Source organism: Homo sapiens, chromosome 18 (assembly GCF_000001405.40).
Source record: "Homo sapiens chromosome 18, GRCh38.p14 Primary Assembly".
Lineage (NCBI taxonomy): Eukaryota > Metazoa > Chordata > Mammalia > Primates > Hominidae > Homo > Homo sapiens.
The window spans coordinates 5,881,268-5,896,451 of record NC_000018.10 but is presented as its reverse complement, the minus strand read 5'-3'; the positions used below and the strand labels follow the sequence as shown (position 1 = coordinate 5,896,451).

Sequence of the window (15,184 nt, the reverse complement as noted above, 5' to 3'; positions counted from 1 at the left end):
TCTCTCTCTCGCCTTCTCTCTTTTTTAAATGACGTAGGGAGTTTGGACATCCTCCCTACCCCCACCTCCCCTCTCTGATTCCAACCCTGATTCCTGATTCCTGGAGAATTATAGTTTTCCTTTTAATGCTTGCTGATTACCGCACCGGGGAGGAGCAGGAGGGGCTGCCCAAGGAAGAGCCCCGGAGCCCATTCTGATCTCCGAGGAGCCCCAGCTGCCGGGTCCCGGTCAGGCTGGTCACAAAGCCCGGCGGGGCTGGAGCGCGAGCGCATCTGGCAGAGGCTTCCAAGCGTCCCGCGGTGCGCCCGTCCCGGCGGGGGCGGCTCCACTCCGCCCGGGCCCGAGTTCGCTGGGGGACAACTTACTGTGCTTGCCGAGCGTCCACACTGCAAACTCCCAAGCGGGAGGGGGAAGAGAGCCCAGGCTGCGCCGTGCCGAGGAGTAGAGGCAACAAAAGACCGAGGCACGAGGGGAGGGAGGCAGGCACGGAGGGACCGCGGACTCTGGCCCCTAGCTCCCCGAGAGCGCCCCTCGGATGCTGCTGGGGAGACCCTCCGGGCCTCTCTTTGGGGCCTCTGGGGCCCGCGGCTCAGACAGGTAGTTGGAGGAAAGAAGAACAAAGCTGCCCGCGGAGGCAGGCGGCGGTCTCGGGGCGCCCCGGGGCGGGGAGAGCCGAGGCCGAGGAGGCACCCCGCGCCCCCTGCCCCGCGGCCCGAGCGCCCCGTGCCGGCTGCCTCCGCCGCCTCCCCTCACGCCTCCTCCTCCCCGAGGAATCGGCGCTTCCGAAGGGACGGGCGGCGGGCGGCGGAGGACGCGGGGGAGCGGGGAAGGCCGGCGGCGTGGGGGGGGGCGCCGGAGGAGGGGGTGGGGCGGGGGGCGGGGGCGGGGGCGCCCCCCGACTCCGCCGAGCCGGGCGGGCCCCGACCGCCACCCTGCCGCAATTTCCCTGTGTCATGGCTCCGGTCTCTTAGCAACAGCCGCCAGTCCGGCCGCCCCGAGCCGCCGCCGCGGGCTCAACTCCACCCGGCGGAGCCCGGCGCGCCGCAGCCACACAAAAGAGGCGCGAGGGCCGGCGGCGCGGCCGCAGGGGCCCGCCCGGGAGCGCCGCGCTAGGGGACGCCGGGAGCTGGAGGATGAGCGGCGGAGAGGAGGGCTCCGAGGCGGGATGCGGGATGCGGGATGCGGAGGACCTGACACTTCTTGGAAACTCTTGGAAATGGCTCCCGCCACAGCGCCGGCGGGGACTGCGAGCCTGGGGCGGGCGCTCGCCCCCGCGGGGCTGCTGAGTCGCGCTCGGATGCGGGGCCCCGGGGCGCTGTCCCTGCGCTCCGCCGTCGGCTCGGGCTGAAAAAGTTTCTCCATGGTTCCTTTGTGTCGCCCGAGCGCCCGTTCGCCGGCCCCGACCTCCCTCGGTCTCCCTGGGTAAGTGAGCGATCTTGCGTGCGGAGAGTGCTGCCATTTTGAGCAATTCTGCCAGTCCCCAGCCCTTGGGGGCCCCTCCCCGCCCCTCGGGTCCCCGAGTCCCCGCGCCCCGGGCTGGTGTTCGGTGAGAGGCTTTTTCCCGGGCTGGCTACACGGGATGCGCTGCCCAGAAAAAGCTAGTTCAGGATTGCCCTCACTTGGCTCCTGCCTGTCTTCTTTCCAGAGGCGGACTCCCAGCTGCTGCACTCATGTGACTCCAGCTAACATCAATAAGCAGACCAAAGCCAGGGGCCAGGGGGTCGCCGCCCTGCCAGTGAGGGGCCGGGGTCGAGGACCTGGGTTGGGTACCGGGCACAGCACAGCGCTCCCAGCCTGTGGGATCCGAGCCTCCGAGCCTCAGAGTGGGGCTTAATCCATCTTGAGCGGAGAACTTGAATGTCTCTCTTGGAAGCAGTTGTATTTTTAGACATCCCTCCTTTGCTTCCCCCATCCTCCATTCTTTAACCACGGTAAGACCAGCTCCAGGCAGTAAATTGCGAGGGCAGCCAAGCTTGACTGCTAAGTTTGTTTTCTTTCATTAGGTATAAAGGAAAACCTCAAAGGTGGGTCTCCCGTGGCATCTGACCTTTGTCTGTATTTCGTGTCAGATGATGATACATTAAAAGGGAGTACAGCCTTCAACAGAGCTGAAGGAATAATAAACGAGGGAGTTAATTACTAGCTATTAAACTCATTTTAAAGATGTGCGGTAAAGGACTGTTGAAATCCATTCCAACCTTCCTTACATTCTACCGGAGCCAAAGCTGCCTTGCTGAGGAGAAATCCAAGTGGGTTTCCTCCTCCCCCAAGGCATCCAGCCTCCCGGCGCACCTGATCAATGCCCAACAAAACATGTAGCCTTTCTGCGGTGGGAGAGCCACCCTGCCAACTGAGTCTGAGTTCGCTTCTAAAAAATGTCTGGTCCTTAAAGCCTTCTTAAGATAACCACGGATCTCCAGATTATTTAAGATGCTGGACTCCAAGGATCACTTAAAACAACAGTCTCTATGTTACAACCACATAATAAATGTGCTTACTTATTTGGGATTAGAGATAGACAGTAAGCTCTTTTTTTTGTTTGTTTCAATCTGTACTTACTGGTGCAGCTTAAAGGTTTATAGATGTATTCTCTATACTGACCCCTCTCTTATCTACCTGGTGCTTCTCTTTACTGAAACCCAGCTAAGTCCCAAAGAGATATTGATTTGCAAATATTGCAAAGAGCTGATTACCATTTACATTCCCACTGATGGAGAAAAGATCCTGCCTATATTGATATAATGGAGGAACTCAAGGGCCAAAGCCTTTCACCCAATCACCAATTAAAAGCAAAATTCTACCTACCACACATTTTCAAGGGGGAATTTATTCTAAAACATGAATTATCTGATAAAGGATAGAAGAGCAAAAGGCTTGGGCGTGATATCTAAGTCTTTCAGTTCATACAATGTCCTTGATTTTAGCATCTCATAGGAGGGAAAACAACTAATGGGACAGAAAATGTTCTACTCTGGAGATACAGCAAGACTGTAATTTTTAGAGGCTGCCGAATAACTACAAATATGCATTTGTGAATTTTCCTACCCAGGCTTTTACAAACAACTAAATAAACTTCCTAAGAGTAGTCCATTGATTGTTGCCACCCTCCCTTCCTAAAAATGACCTCATGAGAAAGGGATAAGGGGGAAAAACAAAACAAAACAAAACAGTTTTGGCTTGGGGGAAATGTCATTCTACAAATCATCATATTATGTAGACTGCTTTACCTAGTTAGTTGCCTACTCATTTGAATACTGGGACTCTGTAGCATGCTCTTGGCACCTTAATAAGGGGTCAGAAAGCTATTATGGCAGAGTGTTAGTTTTTTTAATTGTAATTTTCCCATATGAGAAAAAGATCTTTCTCTTGGAGATTCCAGGGGACTTCTCAAATTCCCTGATGAAATCTGACACATGATACCTTTAAGGGAGTTCCTCTGAGGGAGGAAAGAAGGCCAGAAGGAAGAGCTCAGTTACATAAGCAGTTACCTAAAACTAAATATTCCACCCCAAGAAGCTGTCCAGATGTTGCTGAGAGGAGAGAAGAAGGCTGTGCAAGGGATCTGCCTGCACATAGCTGTAGGAACAGGCATAGGTGGGAGACAACTTTGTGAAGGGATTTATTGTCAGAGTATTGCAATATCTCTGCTGCTTCCCCAGTGGTGAACTCTCTATTAATTATCTGAAGTAAATAAACCGCCTGCCTGCCATTATATGACCTTTGATTTTCATCCAGTGAAATAAATTCCTTTGTCTTTATACAGTAGTAACTTTCCTGACTGTTTTAGTGACTTTGGGCCACACATTGACAGATTCCCCAGCTTAGAGAGACTTGAAACTCCTGTGACAGCTCCCTTGAAAAATCTTCCAATTCCTGAAGGACTGAGGGAAAGAATCTTGACAGGGAGGTCCTTAACCACTACTTTGAGTCCCTACATTTAGGTTTTACTAATGGTTGGAACTCCATTGTTCATTTCAAACCCTCATATTACCATGGAGTGTGTGGAGGAGATGGGTGGGGAGCGAGGAGAAGAAGGCATATTCTCAGATGGTTTTATCACCACATATTAGTTATTGCAATGTTTTATAACCACCTATTAGTTGTTGCAACAACGTTTCCCTTCCCTAGTGTCTACCTGGCTCCAGCCTCTGTACACGGCCTTGTTTCAGTTAGTGGATAAAGGCCCTGGGGTGGGGGGCACACACGGAGTGGGATCTGGGAGTAGGGCAGCTGCAGCGTGAGATGTCACTGCAGCCAAGCTGACACCCTCTGACTGTCTTCCTCTGCTTTGCAGCAGGAGGAGGTGGCTGAGCAGCTAGTGGGCAGTTGGCGCCCTCCCTGTGCAAGCCTCCATCCCAGAGGCTAGTCCTGCACTCCAGGAGCTCGCCATGATCGCCACCGGCGGCCTGCTAAGGATTTCCGCCAGAAAGCAGGATCCACTCCGCCCCCCAAGCCAGATACCCAAGCGCAAGCGGAAAGCCAAGAAGAGGCGCAAGAACGACGTGGTGGTGGTGAAAGGCAAGCTGAAGCTGTGCTCCATCTCAGGGCTCATCGCCCTCTGTGGGATCCTGGTGCTGCTGGTGGGCATAGCCATGGCGGTGGTGGGCTACTGGCCCAAGGCCACCGGGACCAATCGGGAGGGGGGTAAGCAGCTGCCGCCTGCGGGCAGCAGCCACCGGGTCCCAACCACGGCCAACAGCAGTAGCAGTGGCAGCAAAAACCGGTCCAGGAGCCACCCTAGGGCTCCAGGGGGTGTCAACTCCAGTTCCGCGGGCGCGCCCAGGAGCACGCCTCCAGCACGAGCCGCCTCCCCGTCCTCCTCCTCCACGTCCGTGGGCTTCTTCTTCCGCATCTTCTCTGGCTACCTGCACTCTGACAAGCTCAAGGTCTTCGGGCCCCTCATCATGGGCATCGGCATCTTCCTCTTCATCTGCGCAAACGCGGTCCTCCACGAGAACCGGGACAAGAAGACCAAAATCATCAACCTGCGGGACCTCTACTCCACCGTCATCGACGTGCACAGCCTCCGCGCCAAAGACCTGGCGGCCGCCGCGGCCGCCGCCGCGGCCGCCGCCGCCTCTTCGTCGTCGTCTGCCCCCGCCGCGGCGCCCCCCGGGGCCATACCGCTCAACGGCTTCCTCAGCTACGTGCAGTCGCGGGGCCTGGAGCTGAAGCCCGGGGGCTGCGGTGGCTCCGGGGACGCCTTCGGAGCGGCGGCGATGCTGGCCAAGGGCTCGTGGCCTCCTCACCCCGCGGCGCCGAGCGGCGGCCGCCCTCGGGGCGCCGCGTCCCCGCCGGACCTGGCCTCTTCCCCGCGCTGTCCGCGGGAGCCCCCGAGCCTGGCCGAGGCCGTGTACAGCGTCTACCGCGAGCGCTCGGGCGTGGCAGGCAGTCGCCGGGCCGCCGCTGCCACCGCCGCCGCAGCCGCTAGCAGCTGCAGCAGTCCGGCGCCCTGCAGCCCACCCGAGAGCTGGGGGCGCCAGAGCACGGCCAGCTCCTTCGTGGACTCCTCGCTGAGCGCCTTCGCGCTGCTGCCCTTGCAAGGGGGCCGCGATAGGGGCGGGGACGCGGAGGGCGCGAGCTGCAGCTGGCAGAGGCCTCCGGGGGAACGCGGCTCCCAGGAGATCCCGAGGGGCGAGCTCGACCTGAGCATGACCAACCTCCGCGGCGCAGAGGGCAGCATGCGCGGGGCGCGCCGGGAGCCGGAGGAGCCCGAGGGCGCGGTAGCGGCGCGCGCCGCCAGGGGGCAGGGCGGCCGCCTGCCCAGGACCGGCAGGTACGCGGCCTTGCGGCGCCGCAGCACCAGCGGGCTCCCGGACTACCGGGCGCCGCCGTCCCCCGAGCCCCCGCCCTCCCCGGGGAGTGCGGACCCGGACTCCAGCCCTCTGGCCAAGGCCGCCTCCCCCTCGCCACCCCTGCGGCTGGAGGGCTCGCCCCCCACCAGGCGGGACTCCGGGAGCTCCCAGTCGGATGACCCATCCAGCAGCAATAAGGGCTACACACCCCTGCGGGAGGCCGGCACCTCCACCGAGTCGGTCTTGGACGCAGTAGCTGGTCAAACGCGAGACTCTGCTGTGGCCGCCCCCGTTCTGGGTGCGGAGCAGAGCTCGCCGGAGGGTGCCAGCCAGGAGCCACCCACGGCCGAGCAACCTCAGCCGGTGCAGAGGCAGTTTACAAACAAGGAGAAACTCATCATGATTTCCAGGTCTCATGCCATAGGGGTAGAAGAAGAACTGGAAAGCACAGGCATTTAGAGAAAGGGGTGGGTTGGGGAGGAGGAAAGAGAAAATGGGAGAAACGCCCACTTGAATCAGTGCATTAACAGGTCCCTGTTTCTTTTGTGGACTGATCCGAGGACATCATTCAATATCCAAAGAGCTGCAGAATGTTATCCTTGAATTGCGTCCACAAGATTCCTGTAGATAACTCCAAGGATTTTTTTTTTTAAGCAAACTAGTCTTTTTATGTCCGATGGTGATTGTATGTTCAATGAAAACCAAATGTATTAAAAGGTCAGCAATCTAGTCCATTAGATAAAATCTTTTAATTTTCTTAGGATCAAAATAATATATTTTTGACAGTAACTGTGCACTTTACTCCGACTTTTTTTTTTAATCCCTCATTTCCCGACCCCTGTACTCTGCGCTGGTTTTGCCCACAGCTGCTTGCGAATGGCAGGCTTTTTTCTCCATTCCTTTGCGGAACATAGAAGAGTTTGTCTCAGTTCTCTTAGAATTGATGTTACTAACTGAAGTCAAAGCCAAAAGCATGAATAATTCAGGAACGAGCACTTTCCTTGCCCCACCCCACTGTGCTCACCCAATGCCCAAAAGCTTCTTCATTTTTAAACGGGTGTGTACGTTTTGCTACTAGGCTATGTGGTGGAGACTGGAGGGGACCAGGAACTAGATGGACTGTTACATTCCGAAATTTATATCAAGTACACCATGCTTTATTGAGTGTTATCACACCTGTATTGAAAATAGCATTAATATTTAAAATCTTTTTTAATAAAAGAAGTTTCCGAACAAACAGTTAAACATAATATTGCCTCATTTGCCTTGGAGCTAGCTCATCTGGTACCTCTGAAATATTTTGCTGTGACACTGCTACCAGGACTGTTGTGATCTTCCCCCAAAGTACTCAGCACCATTGTCGCATGTCCAGCGTATTTTTAAGCTTAAAATGTAGGGTAGTATTTAACATTTGGGAATTTCTCTTTCAAATAGAATGAAACGTTAAGTAAATAGTAATATGCCTATGATACTTCTCATTTACCTGCAAGTATTAATTTGCAGAGCACCAGGCTTAATATTCTCTTCCCATCCTCTTGGCTATCACTGATTATAAGTTAATGGTCTTGATCCATGGCCTACATAGACAAAAAGATAATGTTTTAATAATTTGGTAGATTGTTTACACTTGATGTCATTAAAAGTGAATTAGTTAATTTTCAAGACCAGGAGACAAGATGTCTTCATTTTGGTCTCCTTGGGCAAAGCGCTAGTCCTGTAGACAGAGTGCAGATTCCGAGCTGAGATTGGACCCAGCTGTTGGCATCTCCTAGCTGTGAGGCCTTGTACAAGTCACAAACTCTGAGTCTCAGTCATCTTTCTGTAAAATGAAGAGAACCAGACATATCTCATGGAGCTATGAGAGGAATAGAACAGGGTCAGGGTCAGAGGAGGGTTTATATGTGTGGAGTTTACCAGAACCCTTGGCCCACAGGATGTATTCAATAGATGGGGGTTATTGTAATTATTATTACCATTGTAATATATTGCTGAATGCATAGTGTAGAAGAATGGACCTTCCTTGAACTTGAGCTCAAGAAAGTCTAGTCTGAAATCTGGGATATCCACCTATTATCTGTATAACCTTAGACAAATCACTTAATCCCTCTGGGCCTCTGGTAGATGATATAATCTCTATGATCTTCAGCTCTAAAAGCCTTACTTAAATTCAGGCTCTTGTCCTGGATGTAATCATATCACATTTGTACCTACAACTTGGCAAAGAGTGAATATACGTCGTCAATTACCATTAGCTCAACATTCTGTAATACACTTTAAAAGGGCCTAATTTATTCTCAGATTGGATCTGCATTAAACCGGTAACTCACTTTAAGGCTGTAGATTAATATATTGGGCTCTTCTATAAAGCAAAAGTGAGTTTGCACTAAGGAGTGACATGCAAGTGTAATAAGACCTCAAGGTAGTGTTAAATTTCAACAGTCTCAATTGCTTTATCACACTTCCAAAGTAAATGTCAAACTTCCTTAGGTTTTCTTCTCCATTACCTTGGGTACTGGGTAATTTATATACTGAGATAGCGTGTTACTTCAAGGGGAAAACAGGTTCTGGTGTTCTACAATACTGTTTCCAGTCCTCGGAGAATGCACTGTAAATGTTACATTTATCAAATGCTAAGTGACATTTAGCAAATAATAAAGCTAATACCTCTTAGCTTAACTAAGGAGGGGTGGACAGAATACTGTTTATATCTCACAAACTTAGTTCCATATCAGATAATATCTAACTTAACCATTGAACAATTTAACTAGATTTTTTTTCTGAAGATAGACAAAGATGAGCTCAATTTTCCAAATCTTGGGAGGAGCCTGTGATTTCTTTAGACTTCAGAGGAAGTGTATAAGTGTAGTAATTCACAATCGTAACTTTCATAGGAGCAGAAATCTGCAATAATGCTAATTTTCACTCAGTACTTACTGTGGGTTCAGTACTATTGTAGGAGCTTGGTACACATGATCTCAGTGAATCCTCACAGCAACTCTATTGAAGTAGGATCATTCTTACCGCTGTTTTGCAGAGAAAGACACTGAGGTCAGAAAGATGGAATTGTTGTCCAGGGTTACACAGCTGGTAAATGGTGGATCCAGGATTTACACAGAGTTTGGAAGATTAGGTAGACCTGTCGGCAGATGCTGAGTTGAAATGGGCATTTCTGGAGACCATCAAAATACTTTATATATTCTTTATTTCCTGCCAGATCCCTTTCCAGACCATTCTTAGAGAAATGCAGAAAATTGTCAGAATGCACAGTCAGATAAAAAGCTGGAGTTCGTAAATCTTCAGACGGGCATGAACAAGTTTTTTTGTAAGTGACTTTTCAGGGGTTTTTGTACACAATAAATAAGAGTATTTGAAAGGGCCTTATAGATGATAGAATCCCCCCACCTTTAATTTATAAATGAGGTTTCTAAGATTTAGAAAGATGGAACAATTTATTCTGAGACAAACAGCAGTGGCAGGACTCGAATGTTAAATTAAAATAATTGCAACAATTGGTGTGATGGTATTTTTTCCCTGAATTTCTGTCATGTACCAGCTGGGTGACCATGGACAAGTTACATAGTCTCTCTGTGTCTCAATTTCCTTTTCCACACTATAGGAATAATAATGTCCCTATCTTACAGGACTGGAGTAAAGATTAAATGAACTAATATTTGTGTAAAGTGCTTATAATGGGCTTGGAACATAGAGAGTATTATACAAAGGTTTGTTCCTTTTATTTAAAATAGAATCAACTGCTAAACAATTACTTCATATGACCTTCCTTTTTATTAATAGAATAATTTTAGGCTTAAAAATCTAAAGTATAAGGCAACATAGCATAGTGGCTCAAAGTGTGACTTAGGGGGTTATATAACATTATAACTGGGTCTTCACATCTAGTAAATGGAGATAATAAATGGAATTTGGCACATAGAATTAATTATTTAAATGAGGACTAAATAAACTAATATAATTAAAGGACTTAGAACAACTCCTGGCACATAAAAATATTCAGTAAATGTTAACTACTATTATTAAGGCAAAATACAGAAAAGCAATTAGTAGGCTAAATTTACTACTCAGTAGTTAGGGACAACCATAAACTTAATGTACTAAAAAGTCTTTAAAATTTAGGTATATCAGAAAGAAAAGTTAGACCTTAAAACATGAGGGCTTATGCTGCTGCAATGCCTCCTGGTAGAACATAGAACTATCAAGAGCTAGACATATGCTCCTTATGGTCCCAGGATCATAATATTATATAACAATGAATGAACGCCCAAACTGGCACACTTGGCTATATTTAGCCACAATTATTGCATTTCCATTTATTGAGGCTAGCCGTATCAGAAAGGCCAGTGAAGTCCTTGAGGTCTCAGCCCCCTATTAGGCTTCAAGTAAAGATCAGGTGCTCTATTGAGTTATTTAAATTGTCTAGACAAAAGTTTTTTCTATATTAATTTTTTTCTTCAGTAATTTTGAGTTCTTTAAGATGCAGTTTTGATTTTTTTTTGAGCTAGAGAACTTAAGAAAAACCCTCTGACACATAAAATTAGTACAGACTAAGTATATGGACTTGTATTTGGATTAGGATAGTATTTTTGCCACGATATAAAAATACATTTTATAAATAAGATCTTCTTGTATTAAGGGTTGCAGTTTAAGATGGATATTTTTCTTACTTATAACAAAGAATAGGTTGATGTTTACGGAGTTTGTTTTCCATAAACCCAGACTATTTTAAAATTTTTATTGCTATTTGGAAGGGAGGAATAAAACTCATTGGGTGAATATTTAGACTAAATTTTTGAATGACTAACTCTGAAAAACAATCTAAGACACCCCACCCTACCCCAGGGAAGTTATCTTTGGGGTTTTTTCTTCAAAAAGGAATGAGATTCTTCTTTAAATTGATAAGAAAATTCAATGTTTTATCTATTAAGCCACCACCAGTTAAGGAGTCCAACTTTAGTCAAACTACCTGCAACTCTGCCAAGACCTGAGAAGCTCCTTACTTTCTGTATGCCATCCGTTCATCTATGACATCAGAAAAGCACTGTGCTAGTGCTGAGCCCACATGGGTGTGAACTACAGTAGGAGTTACAAATGCCAGCCATCCTAAGGACTTAGCCTTCATCCCAGAGCCAGAAGCATTTCAGGATTTCCACCACCTGGAAAGATATTGTTATTCCACTTGAAATGGGCTCTTAGCTGTTGCCCCTTTAATAATGCCAGCTATGACATGGACATGGGCTGATTCGTTAGTAAGATAACATACTGTCATTGCTGGTGAAAAGACCGAAAAAGATTATGCAGATTCTCCTGGAGTGTTACAAAGTATGGGCCTGTCTCAATAACCTGTGCTTTCTGATCCTACATTGTGACCAAGTCCCACGAAGGCTGACTGTCAATAACAAGGGAGGAAAATAGGCAGGCCCAGGGGTGGAAGAAAAAGAGCATCCTGCCGAAAGAAAAAAAAAGATAGGCCAGAATCACTAGGGAAGCTTTTTGTTTCATAAAGGAGCATTTGGTTACTCTTGTTTACAGATCATTTTGTATGTAAAGTGTCTTAAAAATTGCAATAACTTTTATTCCTTAGCAAATATTCTTTTTGCAAATGCATGGCTAGACATTAATTCATATATTTTTTAATATTTAAGAAATTCAACACAACATTGTATTATTGATGCAAACCCACTTGATACTAGTAAATGCTAAACACCTAATAATATTTAATAATTGAAAATAAATTTATGGGCAAATTTATGAACAATTTATTTTAAGTTGAGAAACTCCAGTATCTTTAAACTATGTCTATATGTCTAAAGAAAAAAAAATCTAAAAGTTATTAATGACTGATATAACTAGGTCAGTCGAAGCAAACCGGATCAGAAAATGACTTTGTCTCAGTGGAGGACTTTTGCTATTGTTTTATGTGGCTAATTGCCTTTTCACTCCCTTTTGTATAGACACAACCTAAAAAACACCTGATTTCACCTGTATAGTAAGCAGCTGTGTTTCAAGCTTCTGCCCTTTTGGTAAACTACACAAATTGCTTTCAGATGAGTTTCAGATATATTATACTCTGCCTATCATGAGTCAGATAGGCACTGTGGTAGGTAGAAAGGACAAAAATATCCTTTTTGTGTCTGTGAAAGACACAATTTCTGACCACAGAATCTTGTAATAGTATTGTTTCTGAGACAGGCACATAAACCATAATTTTACTATAATGTGAATATTACAAGAGAGTTATGATACAAATCTTCCAGCTGAGTCTTGAGAAATGAAGAAAATGTCAGATAGGTACAAAAAGCTGGGAAAGGTGTGTTGGCCAGTGGGGCCAGCATGAGCAAATGCAGAACACAAAACACAATTTAAAAAGCCAGATGTTCATAAGGTAATTGATATTTAATTATTACCTAGTATCTCCATAGCATAGAGGTGTTTATTTTGGAAAAAAACAACAAAAACAAAACAAACTATATATCTCTGATCTATAGATATAGATAAATAGATGTCTCCTTTATAAGTAGCAGAAGGATATTCGAAATTAAAATTACGATGGTTTGGCATTAAAATGCTCAAAATATATATACCTACATTCTATATTTAATGATTCATTTTTAACTGACCTTCACTAGCAGGGCTTCTTAACTGAGAAGTATCAGTACATAGAACTAACAAACTAAATTCTTATTGGACCTAAGCTATCTTTATGAGCAAGAATGATTTTTGCTGAATTATACATTGCTTTAAAATTACCATTAAATTTGAAATTTCAGATTCTGGAAATCATTTCCCTAGACGTGTGTATAAGGAGATAAAACTGAGAGGAGAATCTGTCACTTGGCAACACTGTTTGCATCATGGATCAAGTGTGTTGATCCATGTACCGTAAAGACTGGAGACAGCATAAACTTGGGGGTTGTTCTATCAAGCCACAGGTCATTTTTCAGAATCTACACATGATAACTGAATATATTTCTACAGATTTCTACATCAATTTTGCAGCAGCATTTATATCAGGAAACATAAATAATTTATCTTTGTTAATAATAAACATCCGTTTTTTTGTTCCTCACGTATGCGTTCATAGCAAAAGGAAAGGTTAAGACCCAGACATACTGTCGCAAATGTGTATGAGTATTGTTTGTGGACTGGCACCAAAAACACTATGCCTTTTGATTTTTAAACAGCCAGTCATTTTGAGATAGTCACTGAAAACAGATTTGGCCAGAATAGCAAAGTATAGATGCAGCTTAATACTTTGTTTATGCACAAAGCTGCAAACAAAAAGATACAGGCAAAAAACCTGCTTTTCAAAACAAATATTCTATTAAAGTAAAAAAAAAATAATTTTATTAACAAAAGTATAATTTTGTTAGTTTGAATTCCTCACATAATTACTTGATTTCTTCAAAATCTTTTTAGTGCATAAACACAGTCAAGGCAAACATATAAAATGTGTTTTCTAATCCATGAAAGTGAGAATTCTGCAAAACCACTTTGCATTATAGATAAAATTTAATAGATATCATCAGTTATGGTTTATTGTCAGAGCCACTAATAATTCTTCCATAAGGTTATATCTATTGGTAAGAAGATTAAAAATTGGAAATGCTGGTAGATAAAGTGCTGTGGTTAATATGTCATGGTAAATGATATCAGGAAGCACATAGAATTCTTGATAAAGAGCAAGAAAATTCAAAAGACTAATTTGGTGACCTAAATACTAATCCTTCTGCTTATGTAACCATTGCAGGTTAATGTGTTTGGAGCACTAAATACGACTTGAGTGCTTGCTCATTTGATTGTACAATTTATTCTCTTTGTATTTCTAGTTTTATTTCAGCTTCATGCCTGAGAACATCTCTTGATTTATTAATCTTGCTTGGGATTACTACTTTAAAAAATTGAATGCATTTATAGTGATAGTAATAGTAATAATAATAATAGTCTTAAAAAAGACCGAAAAGTAATTTGAGCACTAATAATAAGTAATTGTTTGCGTCCCAATTTTTTATATCTTCTCAAATAGAGAGTAAATTGACTGATATCTTCTGGAAACATGTGCCACTGAAAAGCCAAAACACAATTGAAGTGCATGTTTGCAATCTCCTCGTTCCTCAAATCCCATGGATGTCCAAAACTAGAACCTTTCTTTGATTCATGTAGGATATTCTGACTAAGTCAGAGAGATGCTGGTGAATGCTTTCCAAGATTTCTTTTATTATAAAGTGAATGGAAAGGACATTTAATAATGCTATACCTGCCTGAAAAAAATGCCAGCTTTCATTAAGTCAGTGGCAATTAAATGCAACACTTGGCAAATAAATTGAACAAAGCATCTGGCTAGCCTGTAAGTATGAATCATCTTCAATGGAAGTACCAAATTATAGCAAAAAAAAATAAAGGGATATAAAAAGGAAAATAAAATTCAGACATGATTAGGGCCATGAGTAAAAATAATCCAAGTTGATATGTGGCAACTTGTAATGCAGCATAATTTTAGAAAATTATTTAGTGAATGTATAAATGTGACATGCCTGAAAAATGTTAATTAAACTGGTTTACGCAATGGTGGAGATGTATAATTATTTAGACATGCTCCCATAGTCCTTTGGAAGAAAATTGTAAATTCCAGCTCTACAAGGCTGTTTGGATTATAACCCCTGGTGCTGAGGGTTGAATGCAAAGCCTTTTTATCCACTGAAAATGATGAGATCCCGGAAGTGTCACAGGCTTGCCTCACTCTTCTCTGATTTCATTCACTCAGATTAGAAAGGGCAACTTGAACAGCAAGGAGCATCTATATCTTTAATGCTTTCTCTTTTACCAACATCTTTCAGCACATTTAAGTCATGGAGGAAAGACAGCAAAAAGATGCTAGTTTGGGTCTCATAAGGAGTAATCCATCCATTGTATCTTTTAATTTATAGGCAGTCCTTATAATCTTAAAGACAGAAGAAGGGGGAAGATTGTCTATTAAAATCCGGAACATTCTTCCATCATGTCTAAAACTAATATGCCTGCCTGAGATTGATTTCTGAGTCTTGGCCTGAATTACAGATTTGGGAATCAGGCTATTGCAATAAAAATTAGAATTGATGATAGAAATATTAGTGGAAGGATACCTGGGACTTTGAATTGCAAATGTTATGGGCTGAAGGAGATCCTGGAGGTGTGATTAGTGTTCATGTATGTGCACACACACATGTGCATCAATGAACGAACTATTGAAACTTAAAGCAAGTCAATTTTGTAACTTACTGATTTTGAAGTCTGTGAACAAAAATAAATACTTTTGAGAATAAATCATCACATGCCATAGCAAGAAAACCTTTGCTTCAAGCAGATAATAGGACTGACAAGCTATGTATGCCATA

At 45.0% G+C, this 15,184-nt stretch overlaps 1 protein-coding gene and 2 long non-coding RNA genes across 14 annotated transcripts in view, besides 2 other annotated features; 1 reads left to right on the top strand and 2 right to left on the bottom strand.

Annotated features, from left to right (window-relative positions):
* LOC121725015 (uncharacterized) overlaps window positions 1-725 on the bottom strand; it is a 93,648-nt gene extending 92,923 nt beyond the window's left edge. For both annotated transcript variants that reach the window (NR_172505.1, NR_172504.1), the window contains exon 1: window positions 366-725. This is a non-coding gene — a long non-coding RNA (uncharacterized LOC121725015). The remainder of the gene's footprint in view (window positions 1-365) is intronic.
* MIR3976HG (MIR3976 host gene) overlaps window positions 1-15,184 on the bottom strand; it is a 165,609-nt gene that overhangs the window by 17,956 nt on the left and 132,469 nt on the right. For 2 of the 10 annotated variants that reach the window (NR_172495.1, NR_172494.1), the window contains 3 exons: window positions 8,730-8,931; window positions 7,279-7,372; window positions 6,931-7,179 (listed from right to left, as the gene is read on the bottom strand). This is a non-coding gene — a long non-coding RNA (MIR3976 host gene). The other 8 variants (NR_172496.1, NR_172498.1, NR_172503.1 and 5 more) reach the window with 6 other exon arrangements.
* On the top strand, window positions 278-14,380 carry TMEM200C (transmembrane protein 200C). 2 transcript variants are annotated; one of them, NM_001080209.3, is made up of 3 exons: window positions 278-597; window positions 972-1,422; window positions 4,295-14,380. In NM_001080209.3, the coding sequence occupies exon 3, from the start codon at window positions 4,389-4,391 to the stop codon at window positions 6,252-6,254; it is 1,866 nt and encodes a 621-aa protein (NP_001073678.1). In that variant the 5' UTR covers window positions 278-597; window positions 972-1,422; window positions 4,295-4,388; the 3' UTR covers window positions 6,255-14,380. The 2 variants fall into 2 exon arrangements, with proteins under 2 accessions (NP_001073678.1, NP_001382329.1); NM_001395400.1 differs by lacking the exon at window positions 278-597 and having other exon boundaries at window positions 930-1,422.
* Window positions 4,625-5,152: an enhancer, noted in NCBI's record as "H3K27ac-H3K4me1 hESC enhancer chr18:5891299-5891826 (GRCh37/hg19 assembly coordinates)". NCBI's record gives its function as "activates a minimal SCP1, AML or CMV promoter by ChIP-STARR-seq in naive H9 embryonic stem cells {active_cell/tissue: H9 hESC(naive)}" and the evidence as "EXISTENCE:reporter gene assay evidence [ECO:0000049][PMID:30033119]".
* Window positions 5,670-5,889: a silencer, noted in NCBI's record as "silent region_9265". NCBI's record gives its function as "represses an Ori minimal core promoter by ATAC-STARR-seq in GM12878 lymphoblastoid cells {active_cell/tissue: GM12878}" and the evidence as "EXISTENCE:reporter gene assay evidence [ECO:0000049][PMID:35858748]".